At 45.0% G+C, this 14,220-nt stretch overlaps 1 protein-coding gene across 1 annotated transcript in view, besides 1 other annotated feature; it reads left to right on the top strand.

The window, feature by feature from the left end:
* The window catches only part of LRRC2 (leucine rich repeat containing 2), a 50,918-nt gene that overhangs the window by 12,504 nt on the left and 24,194 nt on the right, over window positions 1–14,220 (top strand). Inside the window, exons 2-3 of the mRNA NM_024512.5 lie at window positions 2,189–2,332; window positions 8,546–8,753. Of these exons, the coding sequence (NP_078788.2) occupies window positions 2,208–2,332; window positions 8,546–8,753 (333 nt within the window). The 5' untranslated portion in view covers window positions 2,189–2,207. The remainder of the gene's footprint in view (window positions 1–2,188; window positions 2,333–8,545; window positions 8,754–14,220) is intronic.
* Window positions 8,793–9,337: an enhancer, noted in NCBI's record as "H3K27ac-H3K4me1 hESC enhancer chr3:46585952-46586496 (GRCh37/hg19 assembly coordinates)". NCBI's record gives its function as "activates a minimal SCP1, AML or CMV promoter by ChIP-STARR-seq in naive H9 embryonic stem cells {active_cell/tissue: H9 hESC(naive)}" and the evidence as "EXISTENCE:reporter gene assay evidence [ECO:0000049][PMID:30033119]".

Genomic DNA, 14,220 nt, shown 5'->3' with positions numbered 1-14,220 from the left:
TTAAATATTTTGGCCAGGCATGATGGCTTGTGCCTGTGATCCCAGCACTATGGGAGACTGAGGCAGGAGGATCACCTGAGCCCCGGAGTTCAAGACCAGCCTGGGTAACATAGCGAGGCCCCGCTTCCACAAAAAATTAAAAAATTCACCAAGTGTGGTGACGCACGACTGTGGTCCCAGCTACATGGGAGGCTGAGATGGGAGGATCCCCTGAGCCCAGGAGGTTGAGGGACTACAGACATGCGCCACTATGCCCAGATCCAGGTGCAATGAGCAGTGATTGCACCTGGATCACTGCCCTCCAGCCTAGGGAACAGGTAATACCCTGTCTGAAAGAAAAAGAAAAAGAAGATTAAATATTTGGCTTCATATCCGTGACTGCTATATAGAAGTGTCTGAAATTGGAGGAGAAAGTATTCACCAGCCCTACTATTTAGCAACTGACAATCTGTGTTTGTGCAAATCAGGGCATGGATTTAGCAAGACTTTGCTGCTGCACTTAGGGAATTTCAAAACAATATCTAGAAAGTTACTTTACTTAGATAAGGGACATAAGTATAACTTAGTGGAATGTACACTGAAAGGTACTTTTCTGTCCTGACAATTTTTTTTTTTTGCAATGATCAAATAATTACTTAAAACAAAAAGTAAATGTAAAGTAGAAAAATAAAAAAGAAGAGAGCTCATTTAGTGTCCTGAGAGTGAAGCAATATCTTTTATTTACTCATTCATTCATTCACTCACTCATGCATTCCACAAATATTTATGGAGGGCCTACCATGTGCAAGGCACTATACTAGGTGCCAGGGATATAGACATAAAGTTTTGGTGGGCCTCTCATGTTTCATTTGGTGACACTGAAAATAGAGACTAAATTATCTCTAAATTCCCACTGAGATGTGATGGCCAAAATGTACCCAAGTTTGACTTTCCTTGCTCTTTGAAAACCAGGTAAACAGAGATCAATGGTTTGTGAAGGTTCAATCTGCAGGGAAACCTCAGAGGACATGTCTCCAGGCTGTGTGGTCAGTCTTAAGTGGCAGAGTGCTCAGTGGGGCTCAGTGCCATTTTTTTTTTAACTTAATGGTGGCTGGCCTGTGGCCTCAGATGATGAGGGCTGGGGATATTGGGGAGGAGAGGCAGAGACTGGTGGTGGCAGAGACTACCCTGGAGAACAGAAATGAGTTAGGTCAGCCGGACTGAGGAAAGAAGGCAGGAGGAGGATGGAAAAGGCAATCCCAGAGGGGAAGAATTGAGGTGATGGGTTACGGAAGAAAGTCGCTGTTACGTGCCTCATGTCCTATACTTAAAGGAAGGAAAGAACACTCAAATATCTTTAGAATAAATTTCTACCAACAAAAGGGGACTTTTAGAAAAGCAATTATAACACCGCCTATGTGAGCTTTTTTTTTTTTTTAGATTTAAATACAACTAAGAAGTTATATTCCGTTCTACTTGAGAGAGGAGAGAGGATGTGTGTGCGTGCCTGCCTGCGTGTGTGTGTGTGCATGCCCGTGCCCTGTGATTAATTCATCTAACTTATCCTTGATTATGTAACAACCTACTGGGAATATTAGGTACATATACTAGTGAATTTAATACAATGTGGAACCGTGAAGTTTGAGGAATCCCCAGGGGGCTTTGGGAGCCCAGAGTCTATCTGAGGGTTAAGGAGACAAGTGTGACCATCTAGAGAAGGTGACCCTAGGGTGAGTGTTGAACTATGACTTACTTACACAAAGTACTACCAAACCTTAAGAACATTAGGAAACTGTCATCCTCCCAGCCTCGGCAATAGAGTGAGACCCTGTCTCCACAAAAAATTAAAAAATTAGTTGGGTGTGATGGTGTGATCCTGTAGTCCCAGCTGCTTGGGAGGCTGAAGCAGGAAGATTGCCTGAGCCCAGGAGGTTGAGGCTGCAGTTGGAGCTATGATCGTGCCACTGCATTCCAGCCTGGGCAACAGAGTGAGACTCTGTCTCAATAAAAACAAGACAAACAAAACCCAACCAGCCAAACAAGCTAAAAAAAAAAAAAAAAAAAAAAAGCAAACTGTCATCCTTGAAGTAGTAAGGCATATCATCATTCCTTAAGCCAAGTGATTCATTCATATTTCATTTTAAAGTTTATGTTAAAACTGTTTTCTGTTTGTGTATCAAGCTGACATATCTATATATTTTTTAAATAGGTAATTTCATGCTCCCAAAATGGGACATAAAGTGGTTGTCTTCGACATTTCTGTCATCAGAGCCTTGTGGGAAACTCGTGTCAAGAAGCACAAAGCTTGGCAGAAGAAGGAGGTGGAAAGGCTTGAGAAGAGCGCCTTGGAGAAGTACGTGTTTTCTCAACCTAGTCTTGTAGCTTGTTTGGTGAATAAGGATTTGGACAGGCAACAGTTGCGTTGTGGAGGAGGATGCTTTTCTTCTGGGATTTCTCACTGTTGGTAAAATTTTCCTCATTAAACTTCAGAGCCTTACACTGTTGCTCAGTACAAATACGCAGTTCCTATGATAGCAACACCCATGGTTATAAGGACCTACCCACCACCCTTGTGGTAGGCACGAGGAAGACCGAGATGACACGATAAATCCCCCCACAGTAAATGCTGTAGCAGGCTGCCTAGCTAGAGTTCACTGAGCTAACTCACTAGGCTGTCTGGCGCTCTGGACACCATCTGACTGCCATCTGGGGCAGCTTGGGGCTACTCTGTTGTGCACTTCAGCCCTCCCCCATTGAGCTGAATTCTAGGTAAGATTCATTGTGTTGGTGTCGTTTTTACTTGGATGAAATGGTGTCATTTGCCTATCATATACGGCCGTGAAATATGAGTAAAAGAAAGTTATGTATATGAACACCAAGTTGAGTGCTTTGGAAAATCTACAAGGTAGAAAGGTTGAAGATGGCTTTGCATATGTCTGCAATTTTTATTCCCTGTGGAGAAACCAGAACTGGAACTCATGGATGATGCATTAGGGGTGCTGTTTATATAAGATTGACACAATGGGATTCTCATTGGCAGACCCATTCTCAAAGAAAGTCCCAACCCTACATCAAGTTGGCCAATGATGGTATATTTGCACACTTTAAATTAAAAGCAAGATGTGTAGGGGCTGGGCGCAGTGGCTCACGCCTGTAATCCCAGCACTCTAGGAGACCGAGGCAGGCGGATCACAAGGTCAGGAGATCGAGACCATCCTGGCTAACACGGTGAAACCCCGTCTCTGCTAAAAATACAAAAAATTAGCCGGGCGTGGTGGCGGGCGCCTGTAGTCCCAGCTACTTGGGAGGCTGAGGCAGGAAGGCAGGAGAATGGCGTGAACCCGGGAGGCAGAGCTTGCAGTGAGCTGAGATCAAGCCACTGCATTCCAGCCTGGGCGACAGAGCGAGACTCTGTCTCAAAAAAAAAAAAAAAAAAAAAAAAGATGTGTAAGGTGTGAATGTGTCTACATTCTTGGTTCTCCACCTTCATTAGCTTTTTGGATTAAACAAATACCTATTCTGATCATGCTTGATAATTAAGCTGCTACTGTATTCATCACAGTGGTTTCAGGTGGTTACCACCATCCCTAATTTGCAGATGAGGAAGTTGGGACTTAGGTAAGTTGCTCAAGTTCACACAGATGGTAAGTGGAAGATGTGGCCAAGCCCTTGCCTCTGTATAATGCTGTAATCACAGGTAGTTAGAACGTCTTTTCTCTTGCCACTAATCTGAGATTGTCCAATATGACATAAAGGATTGCTTGAGGAGTTTGAGACTAGCCTGGGCAACATAGTGAGACTCTGTCTTTACAAAAAAACAACAAAAAAGAATTACAACCCTTAAACCAGAAAGCCCACATGGCAACGCATCCAAGAGACCTACACTCACATAAATCATACAAGGTCCCAGAGCCCAAAGTAGCTCTCAGCCCTGCTTTGATTTCCTCCGCACACCTAGCATCTGGGGTTACTCTACAGCAGAACAAGCTTGCTGCATGGAGGCCCACGCCCTTGGCAGTGGGGAGGGGAGTTAGGGAAGCACCTGTAGCTGATGCAACTTCCTGAGGTTCTTGGAAGAGGAGCCATTTGCAGACACCTGGGGTCTGCAGACTGTGCTCTCTCATCTGCTTTGGAGTGGGATCTGCCCCTTCAACGCTGTCTTTCTTTGAGGTGTTAAACAGCTTCACGCATCTCATGTACATAGGATTGAGCTTGACTTGGGCTCAGTGTCATTGAGCTTGTGCACTGTCTCATCTTAACCTAAGACAGAAAACTTCTTGGATATTTGTTTGGCTTTTCTAGCCCAAGATAAGGAAAACAGCCACCAAGTTGGCTGGGCAGATAAGGAGGAATGTGAGGTAGGGCTGGGGAAGAATGTGCATGTTTAAGAAAGGAACTTAGTTTCTCAGCCTCTTCAGAAATGGGGGTAGTAAATTTGCCTTCTTTACAGGTGTTTTTGAGCTTCCATAATATAATTCATACTGTGATCATTAGTACTATTTGAGGGTTAACTTTTAGTTTCTCAGGATCTGTTTACTGTTCAAAGGAGTAATTAATATGTTGAAAAATTAATGCCTGCCTGATTATAAAAGGCAACTATTTGGTTAATTTAAATTTACTGAAACAAATAAAACCTCCTAGCTTGTTCTGTTACCTCACTTTAGGGTATCTCATCCTGTAATGCTGTAGTTGTTATGAAGTATATACCGATACTTAAACATTATAAGTAGAGATAAAATATGAAATATCACTCTCTCCGAATGAAACTTGATCATTTGGAGCGGAGGTTCCCAAGCCCTGGGCTGGCCTTTTAGGAACTGGGCCACACAGCAGGAGGTGTGCAGGGGGCAAGCGGGCATTACCACCTGAGCTCCACCTCCTGTCAGATCAGCGGCAGCATTAGATTCTCATAGGAGCACAAACCCTTTTGTGAATTGTGCATACAAGGGATCTAGGTTGCCCACTGCTTATGAGAATCTAATGCCTGATGATCTGAGGTGGAACAGTTTTATCCCGAAACCATCCCCCCAACCCCTCATCCATGGAAAAATTGTCTTCCATGAAACTGGTCCCTGGTGCCAAAAAGGTTGAGGACTGCTGATTTAGAGGGAGAAATAAAAGAGCTATTGTTAGGCTGTAAGTGAAGAATTTCTTCTCCATTGAGGCTGTTTGCCATCTGGGCTGGGATTGTGGTTTCCTTTCCTAAGGAAAAGGTATTTTATTTACACATTTATTGATTTAATTAGAAGAACTCTAATGGCATTTTTTTTGTATGTTTATTGCATATTTGGCATTCAGCTAAAACTGAGTTGAGAGGAAGATTTCACATTGAATTATATGGGTGATAGAGTGAAAAGACAACGAATTTTATTTATTTTAATTACTTTCAAGGAAGAGAATGGAATTAAAAAAATAGTTTATATTTCCTTCTTCACTTTCCTTTCATCAGGTTTCAGAGGGAATCAGACATAAAATATTTAAGAAGGAAAATAAGACATAAAGAAAATAAGACAACAAATATTTAAGAAATAATACAAAATAGATTTGGTATATAATTATTTTTAATGGGGTACATCTAATTTTCTTTTTTCTCCATTTTATATTGGCTGTACCAAAATATGTGAAATATTTATAACAATTTGTAATATGTGCTATAGGAATGATATATTACATAGGGATGAGCCGGTATCATCTCATTATATTGCTAGGATCTGCCTTCAGGTTCAGTCTAAGAAATGAGGAAAGAAAAGTTAGAGACATTAATCTGAAAAGTGCCCAGTGAATACAAGAACTTGCAGTGGCTGTGCTGTTGGTTTTAAAAATTTTGGAGGTATTGCTTCTAACAGAAGTTCTAGCAGCATGTCTTTGACCTAGAGTCTGCCCCTTGTCCTGACTGCTACAGTAAGATCTAAATCTACAGGTAGATATTTAAAATTCATTTTTATCATATGGTTATAAAACTAAATCACACAGAAAAGCTAATAAGGAAAAGCAACAATTCCAAGCCACTACAACTTCTCCCAGAGGAGCCCACTTCTCTTTCAGCACTTTCTTCTGCTTTTAAATTCATATCCCTTCATGTGCTGACACACACACACACACACACACACACATACACACACACATATGTTATATATATATTTTTTTTTTTCTTGTAATTTTTTTGGGACAAGTCTCTTTCTGTTGCCCAGGCTGGAGTGCAGTGGTGTGATCATAGCTCACTGCAGCCTCGACTTCCAGGGCTTAAACAGTTTTCCTAGCTCAGCCTCCTGAGTAGCTGGGACTACAAGCATGTGCCACCAGCCCCGCTTTCTTTTTTTTTTCTTGTATTTTTTGTAGAGACAGGGGTCTCACTTTGTTTCCCAGGCTGGTCTCAAACTCTTGGCCTCAAGTGTTCCTCCTGCCTGAACCACTGCACCTGGCAATATTTTTAAATTTATCACTTTTGTTATATTACTTATAGACTTCATATGTAGATCCTGAAGCCCTGACTCATGGATTGCTGGGTGGTTTTCCCCAGCGCAGCTCACTGGGACTGAGACCTATAGAGCTGTGCCAGCCAGTGCTGTCAGCAAAATGTTTTTCTTCAAATGTTCCAGCTTCCCTCAGTTGAATGGCAAGCATGAAACTCCAGCAATATCTGAAATGGTTTCTTAAAAGCAAAACATCTGATTAAGAAGGTGACATTTGCATGTAGACCTGGGGAGCCAGCCCTGCAGAAATCTAAGAACAAGGGTTGCAGGCAGGCATAACAGCAAATGCAAATGCCACTGACACCAAGAGAGGGGCAAGGGAGTTAAGGATGGATGCCAGGAGGTGATTACAATGGGATCCATGAATATGTTTTCCTTTCAAAGCCAGACCAGTGTGCAAGGTTATGAGTTTTCCTTCATCTCATTTACTGTGTGGGGGCAGGTGTAGAGCAGGGAGATAATGGGATATAAACTGTGGCAGGCATCTGTAATCCCAGCTACTGGGGAGGCTGAGGCAGGAGAATCGCTTGAACGTGGGAGGTGGAGGTTGCAGTGAGCTGAGACTGTGCCATTGCACTCCAGCCTGGGTGACAGAGCAAAACTCTGTCTCAAAAAAAAAAAAAAAAAAAAAGGAGCAAATTGGTGTTTCTGGGGGTGGGAGAGGGTTGTCCCTCCACTGGATAGAATTTCTGTGTGTTTATGGATAAGAATTATTTGTATGGCTTTCCGTTTTCTACAAGTTAACTTTACTCTCTACAGAGTTATAAAATAGCTTAGTCAAAGTCAAAGGTACATACCTATAGAATCAGAGAATCCCCTGGAGGCTCCGGCATTCCGGGAAAAGGCTATCCATCTGTGTTTTGCTTCTTTCAAAATCTGAAATTTCTCCTTACACTTGACAGTGCCTGGTGGTCCAGACTGGGACTTCCCGCATGCCCAGTCCTAGAAGCTGGTCTTGTCCCAGGTGCAGTAAACCTTCAGACCCCTCCTAACCACTCCAATGGCAGGCTTGCCTGTGCCCCACAGTGCCACCCTACAGCCTAACTGAGACTCTGAACCACCCTTCCTTCAGATAACAGCAGAGAGTTTCCATACTAGGATTGTTCCTTGACCATGGGGCTTATCTCACACTTATTTAGTGTATATACTGCCTTGGGCCACGTGAAGACCAAGTCTGCACCTGCAGCTGGTTTCTAAAGTAGCCCCCAGAAGACCTGAATCCTGACTGCCGCCAGGTTCCCAGTTGGGCTGAGTAGGGTGTGGAATGCTTTTCTGAGTGTGGAATGCATCTAAGCCCCTATCAAAGGTGGGCTACCTTATTTTGAGTCAGACAACATCTGTGTTTGATGGTTTTGAAGGAAAACCACAAAACATCTTGTTTTGCATCACATAGAATATGTTAAAGGCCTCAAACAGAAAACAAATTCCTAAATGAAGAAAGGCCCACCAGGTGCAGAGCCCTGTTCTGACAGCTGTGTGGGCATCTGAAGGGCTGTGAGACACACTAGCTGTCATCATGGAGCTTAGCATCAAGCTGGGGGATAAGCTATGGATGTGGAAAGCTCTAAAAGATAGGTCAGAAAATTAGCGACACGTGGGGTGGTGAGGTTTGGTGGGGATGCTGAGTCCTCAGCCAGCTCCAGTGTCTGAGTGGACCTCAGGTCCATCTACAGGAATAAAATTCCCCAAGGTGGCTGATGGTGACATTCCAAAGTCAGGTGTTTTATACACTGAAGCTCCTCTGTATTTCTATTCAAATACCCTTGAAAGATCAGTGAATCCCTGTGGCCCTGCACTTTTTTAAAACTTAGGTTGGCATGATATAATTTCAAAGGAAATTATAATTAAACGCATAGCCAGAAATTCCATCTAACCCATCTTCTCTACTTTTAAAGTTGAAGTTACTAATAATTCACAAAAGGGTTTAGGGTTTCCCCTGCACCCCCACAGCAGGGAGGAAAGAGGAAGGGAGTGCTTACGTAGGCCTGGGAATGACAAGGAGAGCACCTATGCCCAGGTGGCTGACTCACTTCTCTAGGCAGGTGATGGCCAGTCCCCAGGAGAGTAACTGTGACCCCTGCTGCCTGTTTTAGGATAAAGGAGGAGTGGAACTTTGTGGCCGAATGCAGGAGGAAGGGCATCCCCCAGGCTGTATACTGCAAGAATGGCTTCATAGACACCAGCGTGCGGCTTCTGGACAAGATTGAAAGGAACACTCTCACAAGGCAGAGTTCACTTCCCAAGGACAGAGGCAAACGGAGCAGTGCGTTTGTGTTTGAACTTTCTGGGGAGCACTGGACGGTGAGTCGAGGCAGTTCTCGCCCAATGCAGTGCTGTGGTCGATGACTGCTGCTCGCCTGAGCCCAAGGATGAATGAATGAATGCTTTTGCCTTTAGAGGAGGTTCTTCTGTCCCTTCCTCAGTGAAACGCAGCGCAGTCCTGGAAGCAGTGATGGGACCCACTTGGATACCTCTGTGGCTGAGCAGCTGGGATGCACGTGCCCTCTCCTGGGCAGCACAGTCTTTCAGGATGCGTTCCTCTCCTGTTCCCCGCCCTAGACCCTTAACATAATTCTTTGTCTTTAAAAAACATCAATTTAAGTGACGGCGCCTTTCATTCAACTAACGCCCTGGCAGTGGGCAATTACTTACTTGCCGAAGTGCCGAAGGGCAGCAAAGGAATTTCTGCAGATCCTTTATCTGGTTTTCCTGTCCTGAGATTCTGAGGCCAGGGCAAAGACAATTCCATCTTTCTTTCCTCAGGTCCCATAATAACTTGGGCTATTGCCCATTTCATCGGGACAGGGTTCCCTGGGACCCTCCGTCCATCTCTTTGTATCTTGCCATTTTGTGTCTTTTTTGTTTTGTTTTGTTTTGTTCAAGAGTCTTGCTCTGTCACCCAGGCTGGAGTGCAGTGGCGAGATCTCAGTTTCCCGAGGAGCTGGGACTACAGGTGTGTGCCACCATGCCTGGCTAATTTTTGTATTTTTAGTAGAGACGGGGTTTCACCATGTTGGCCAGGTTGGTCTCGAACTCCTGACCTCAGGTGATCTGCCCGCCTTTGCCTCCCAAAGTGCTGGGATTACAGGCAAGAGCCACCACGCCCGGGCTTTGTATTTTTTTCCTAGAGGCGGGGTTTTGCCAGGTTGCCCAGGCTGGTCTCGAATTCCTGAGCTTGAGCCTATTACCCTGCCATTTTGTGACTAAAAGGACTCGGTGGAGAGACTAAATATTTTGCGTGACCTGGGGCTGTCTTTTATTAGCCATGTGATCCGAGGTGGTTTTTATCATTTGATAAAAATGCATATCACTTTTATGGGTTTTTATCATTCTTATCAGTAAAATGCTGCTAATGCTTGCCCTGACCCTATCTGAGTGCTATTGAGAGGATGAAGTGCATGAATATTCTGTAAAGTATACAGTTCTCCAAAAATGCAAGAGGTTATTACTGTAAACCTCTTTACTGTTCTTTCCCTTGCATCCCCATCATTGAGATCAGTAGGTAACGGGCTGCCTATTCTAGGGCACGAAGGGAGGCATGTCTGGATTGTTAATTAAATACCATTGGCCAGTAAACACGATCCTGGGTGTGGCACTTACCCTGTAAGGGTGTCCAGTTCACCTGGAGAACCTGTCACGAGCCCTCATGTTTCACAATCTACCTTTTGAAAATCATTGTAAAGGGTATTTATTATTTATTATTATTATTATTATTATTATTATTATTAATTGAGATGGAGTCTCGCTCTGTCACCCAGGCTGGAGCACAGTGGTGCGATCTCAGCTCGCTGCAAGCTCCGCCTCCCGGGTTCACGCCATTCTCCTGCCTCAGCCTCCCGAGTAGCTGGGACCACAGGCACCCGCCACCATACCCGGCTAAATTTTTGTATTTTTAGTAGAGACGGGTTTTCACCGTGTTAACCAGGATGGTCTCGATCTCCTGACCTCGTGATCCGCCCGCCTCGGCCTCCCAAAGTGCTGGGATTACAGGCGTGAGTCACTGCACCTGGCCTGTAAAGCGTGTTTAATGTGCCCGGTATGGTAAAGGGAATGGGAAGATGGTTAGAATTCAGCAGGCTGGGAGAGACCTCCATTGTGAACCAGGTGGATGGCGTCCTCAAAACTTGCAATCTCTTTGTCCCCATACGCCATCCCCTAAGCCGTACTCTGTTGTGATTGAGTACAGGAGAGTCCAGGAAGACTCTGGGCCCCACATATTCTTTAGAGTGAATTTCAGTTACCGTTTTCCTCCCCCAGAGAGCTTGTGCTTCGGCCTCACCTCTGACTAAGGAGTGAAAGGCTGTGTGTGTTAAGGGATTTTTCAGCCTCTTAGAGTGCTCTGTGGCAGTGAGGGATTTGTGGCCTCCAAAGTCACACCTGGCAGCCTGCCTGGCCCCTGCAAGAGGTCAGGAGGGAAGGAATGGGCTGTGGAGCTTCTGGGGCCTTAGGGACTAGGTAGAGAGAGATCTGCTGCGGCCCTTAGGGCTGGCTGAGGCTGTGTGGCCAGCTTGGGCTGAGGGCTGGGGCTCCTGTTTTGAGTCAGAAGCTCTCAGACCCCGGACCCTGCTCGTATAGGGGAGATCCTCAATTTTATTTTCCAACCCTGCAATAGAATTTTTCATTTTTACTACCACATGTTTAATTTCCCCGAGCTGTTTGCTGTTTGTTTTTTCAAATGGATGAATTCTGTGAAGTGGCTTTATTTTTCCACTTTTACAGATATCTCTTAATCTTAGCTTTTAAAATTTTGTTCTGTTTTTATTTTGCAGGGTAATGGCTTTTCTTAGCTATCTTGGGATCAATCTTTTTTTTTTTTCTTTTCTTCTTTTTTTTTCTTTTGTTTGTTTTTTGAGACAGAGCCCTGCTTAGTCACTCTGTCTGGAGTGCAGTGGCATGAACATGGCTCACTGTAGCCTCTATCTCCTGGACTCAAGTGATCCTTCCACCTTAGCCTTCTCTGTAGCTGGAACCAACAGGTGCATGCCACCACACTCGGCTAATTTAATTTTTTTTTAAAGATGGAGTCTCACTTTGTGGTCTGGGCTGGTCTTGAACTCCTAGGCTCAAGTGATTGTCTTGCCTTAGCCTCCCAAAGTGCTGGATAGTTTTTTTGGGGGGGATGCTTTCTTGTTTCAGAGTTTCCTTTTTCTTTTAGGGTATGTGTCTTTATCTTGCATGTTGGGACATTTCTTGGAGGTCTGGAGACACTGGGTTGTCCAGAGCACTAACAAGCTGACCAGAAGCTCTGAGTGTGTGTCGGGCACACTTAGCTTTTGAGGAAGTTGCTGTAAAGTCCCCATCTCACTGGTGCCTCCCCTCTCCTATTCATGATTATTCATGAATGTTCATGAATGCACATTCATGATTTGTCTGGAGCTATGGGAGCATACAGAGAAGGATCTTCTCAGTTCCTGGGGCAGAGAGAATCTCAGCATTCATCACTCATCATCTGATTGCCACCTCCCCTGCCTCAGCTGTGCTTGAGGTACCCCAGTTCAGGGACTTTGTTGAACCTCCTCCAGTGAATAAGCCTCAGCTTCCTACTGGTGGGGAGCAGAGGTAATTGCTGTGTGGCATGGATGGGGGTCAAGGTTCTGGTCCTCAGACTTTGAACCCGATCTCTTTCTTTGGGCCGTGACTTCAGCTCTCACTTCCAGGGGTACCAGGCTCTTCTACTGCCGAGTCTCTGGTGGCTTCTGGTGAGAAGCCCAGGTTGTATCTCAGTTGTTTCTGCTGCTAGTCTAAGATTGAGCAGCTCTGGGAAGCCAGGTTACCATCTTCCGGCTGTCTGGTTATCCACATTTTGCAGCTGATGTCTCCTTTCCCTTTCTCTTTGCCCTTCTGCAAGGTTTATGGCACCTAAAAAGTTCCTGTACTGTTGTCTTTAATGGAATTTTGGAGAAGAGCAAAAGTACATGCATACATTCAATCTGTCATTTTTACTCGATTCTTTTCATTTCTATTTCATTTGATATCCTAATATTTTTCTTTTCTTTTCTTTTTTTTTTTTTTTTGAGACGGAGTCTCGCTCTGTCGCCCAGGCTGGAGTGCAGTGGCATATTCTCGGCTCACTTCAAGGTCCGCTTCCCGGGTTCACACCATTCTCCTGCCTCAGCCTCCCGAGCAGCTGGGACTGCAGGCGCCCGCCACCACGCCCGGCTAATGTTTTGTATTTTTAGTAGAGACGGAGTTTCACTGTGTTAGCCAGGATGGTCTCGATCTCCTGACCTCGTGATCTGCCCGCCTCGGCCTCCCAAAGTGCTGGGATTACAGGCGTGAGCCACCATGCCCGGCCTATCCTAATATTTTTCTTGTTGAAAATAGTCATGAACATAATTTTAGAAATTTAATAATCTTTCATGTGTGCCATTATTGAAAGAGTGGAATGAGGTTATTTATGAGACAGTCAGTACGTTGAAGTGTCAATGAAGAGATTGTGATTATGAGCCTGTGGTCAGCTCCCTGATGACCCAACTCATTTTGTCTCAGTTCCAGGAGGCAACCCTCTGGTGTGGTGTGGGTTCCATTCAGATCAAGAGGTGTCGGGACAGTTTGCCAGGGCCACGAGAAGGGGGCAGGTGGTAACTAGGTAGTTGGCTTCAGAAGCAGCGGCACAGGGCCCTATGCTTGGTTTAATGCTCTGTGCTCACCATCTTGAACTTCTTAATTTTTAACAAGGTGCCTGCATTTTCATTTTGCACTAGGCTCTGCAAACTCAGTAGTGGATCCTTACTGTAAGTGATTCACTTAAATGTCTTTGGGGTTTCAGCTTTCCTCTTCCAAAGGGGCTCACTTTGCCTATCAATTTTTTTTTTTTTTTTTGAGATGGAGTCTCACTCTGTCACCCAGGCTGGAGTGCAGTGGTGCTATTTTGGCTCACTACAACCTTCGCCTCCTGGGTTCAAGCGATTCTCCTTCCTCAGCCTCCCAAGTAGCTGGGATTACAAGTGCACGCCACCACACCTAGCTAATTTTTGTATTTTTAGTAGAGATGGGGTTTCACCATGTTGGCCAGGCTGGTCTCGAACTCCTGACCTCAGGTGATTCACCCGCCTTGGCCTCCCAAATTGCTGGGATTACAGGCGTGAGCCACTGTGCCCGGCCCACTTTGCCTATCTTATGGTACTGTTGCATGAGATAATACTAGAGTGAAAGCACTTTTGCAAGTTAACAGCTTAACCCACACACAGGAGGGCAATGGTTGTAAAGCACATTACAAGTACCAAGTACAAAAAAGAAGGATCACTATGGACTCCATTGCTCCCTCCACCTCCCCTTCAACTGCCATGGAGTTTTCCACACCTCATCCCACCTCCACCCTGTGCTCCAGCCACTTTGCTGATGGTGCGTTGTGGTCAGCTTCTGAGGTCAGGGGACCTGTGTGTCTCGTCTTTGCCCCACCCCTCAGTGCTGAGCACCCCTCACCTGCAATGGGGGCTCGGTAACTCTCGGTGAATTAGATTTCTTCAGCTGGACAAATAGCCTCCTTAAAGTCTTTAAACGCTTCTTGCTTGACACCTTTACAGTTTTATCCCAGAACACTTGAGCTAGGGGAGGCCTTGGACACTGAGTTCATCAATGTCATTTCAGCAGTGGAGACCCAGGGAGGTGGCGTGACTGGAAAATGGCAGGGCCTGGGCCGGAACTCAGGTGTCCCAGCTGACTGTCTTTCTCATGCTTTTTCCCTTTCATAGACTCTTAAGAATATTTGGAAATGTGGTACAGCAAATATTAGAGGTTTATCAAGTATTTCTAAAAGCAACTACAG

Source organism: Homo sapiens, chromosome 3 (genome assembly GCF_000001405.40).
Source record: "Homo sapiens chromosome 3, GRCh38.p14 Primary Assembly".
Lineage (NCBI taxonomy): Eukaryota > Metazoa > Chordata > Mammalia > Primates > Hominidae > Homo > Homo sapiens.
This window is presented reverse-complemented; position numbering and strand designations above follow the sequence as displayed.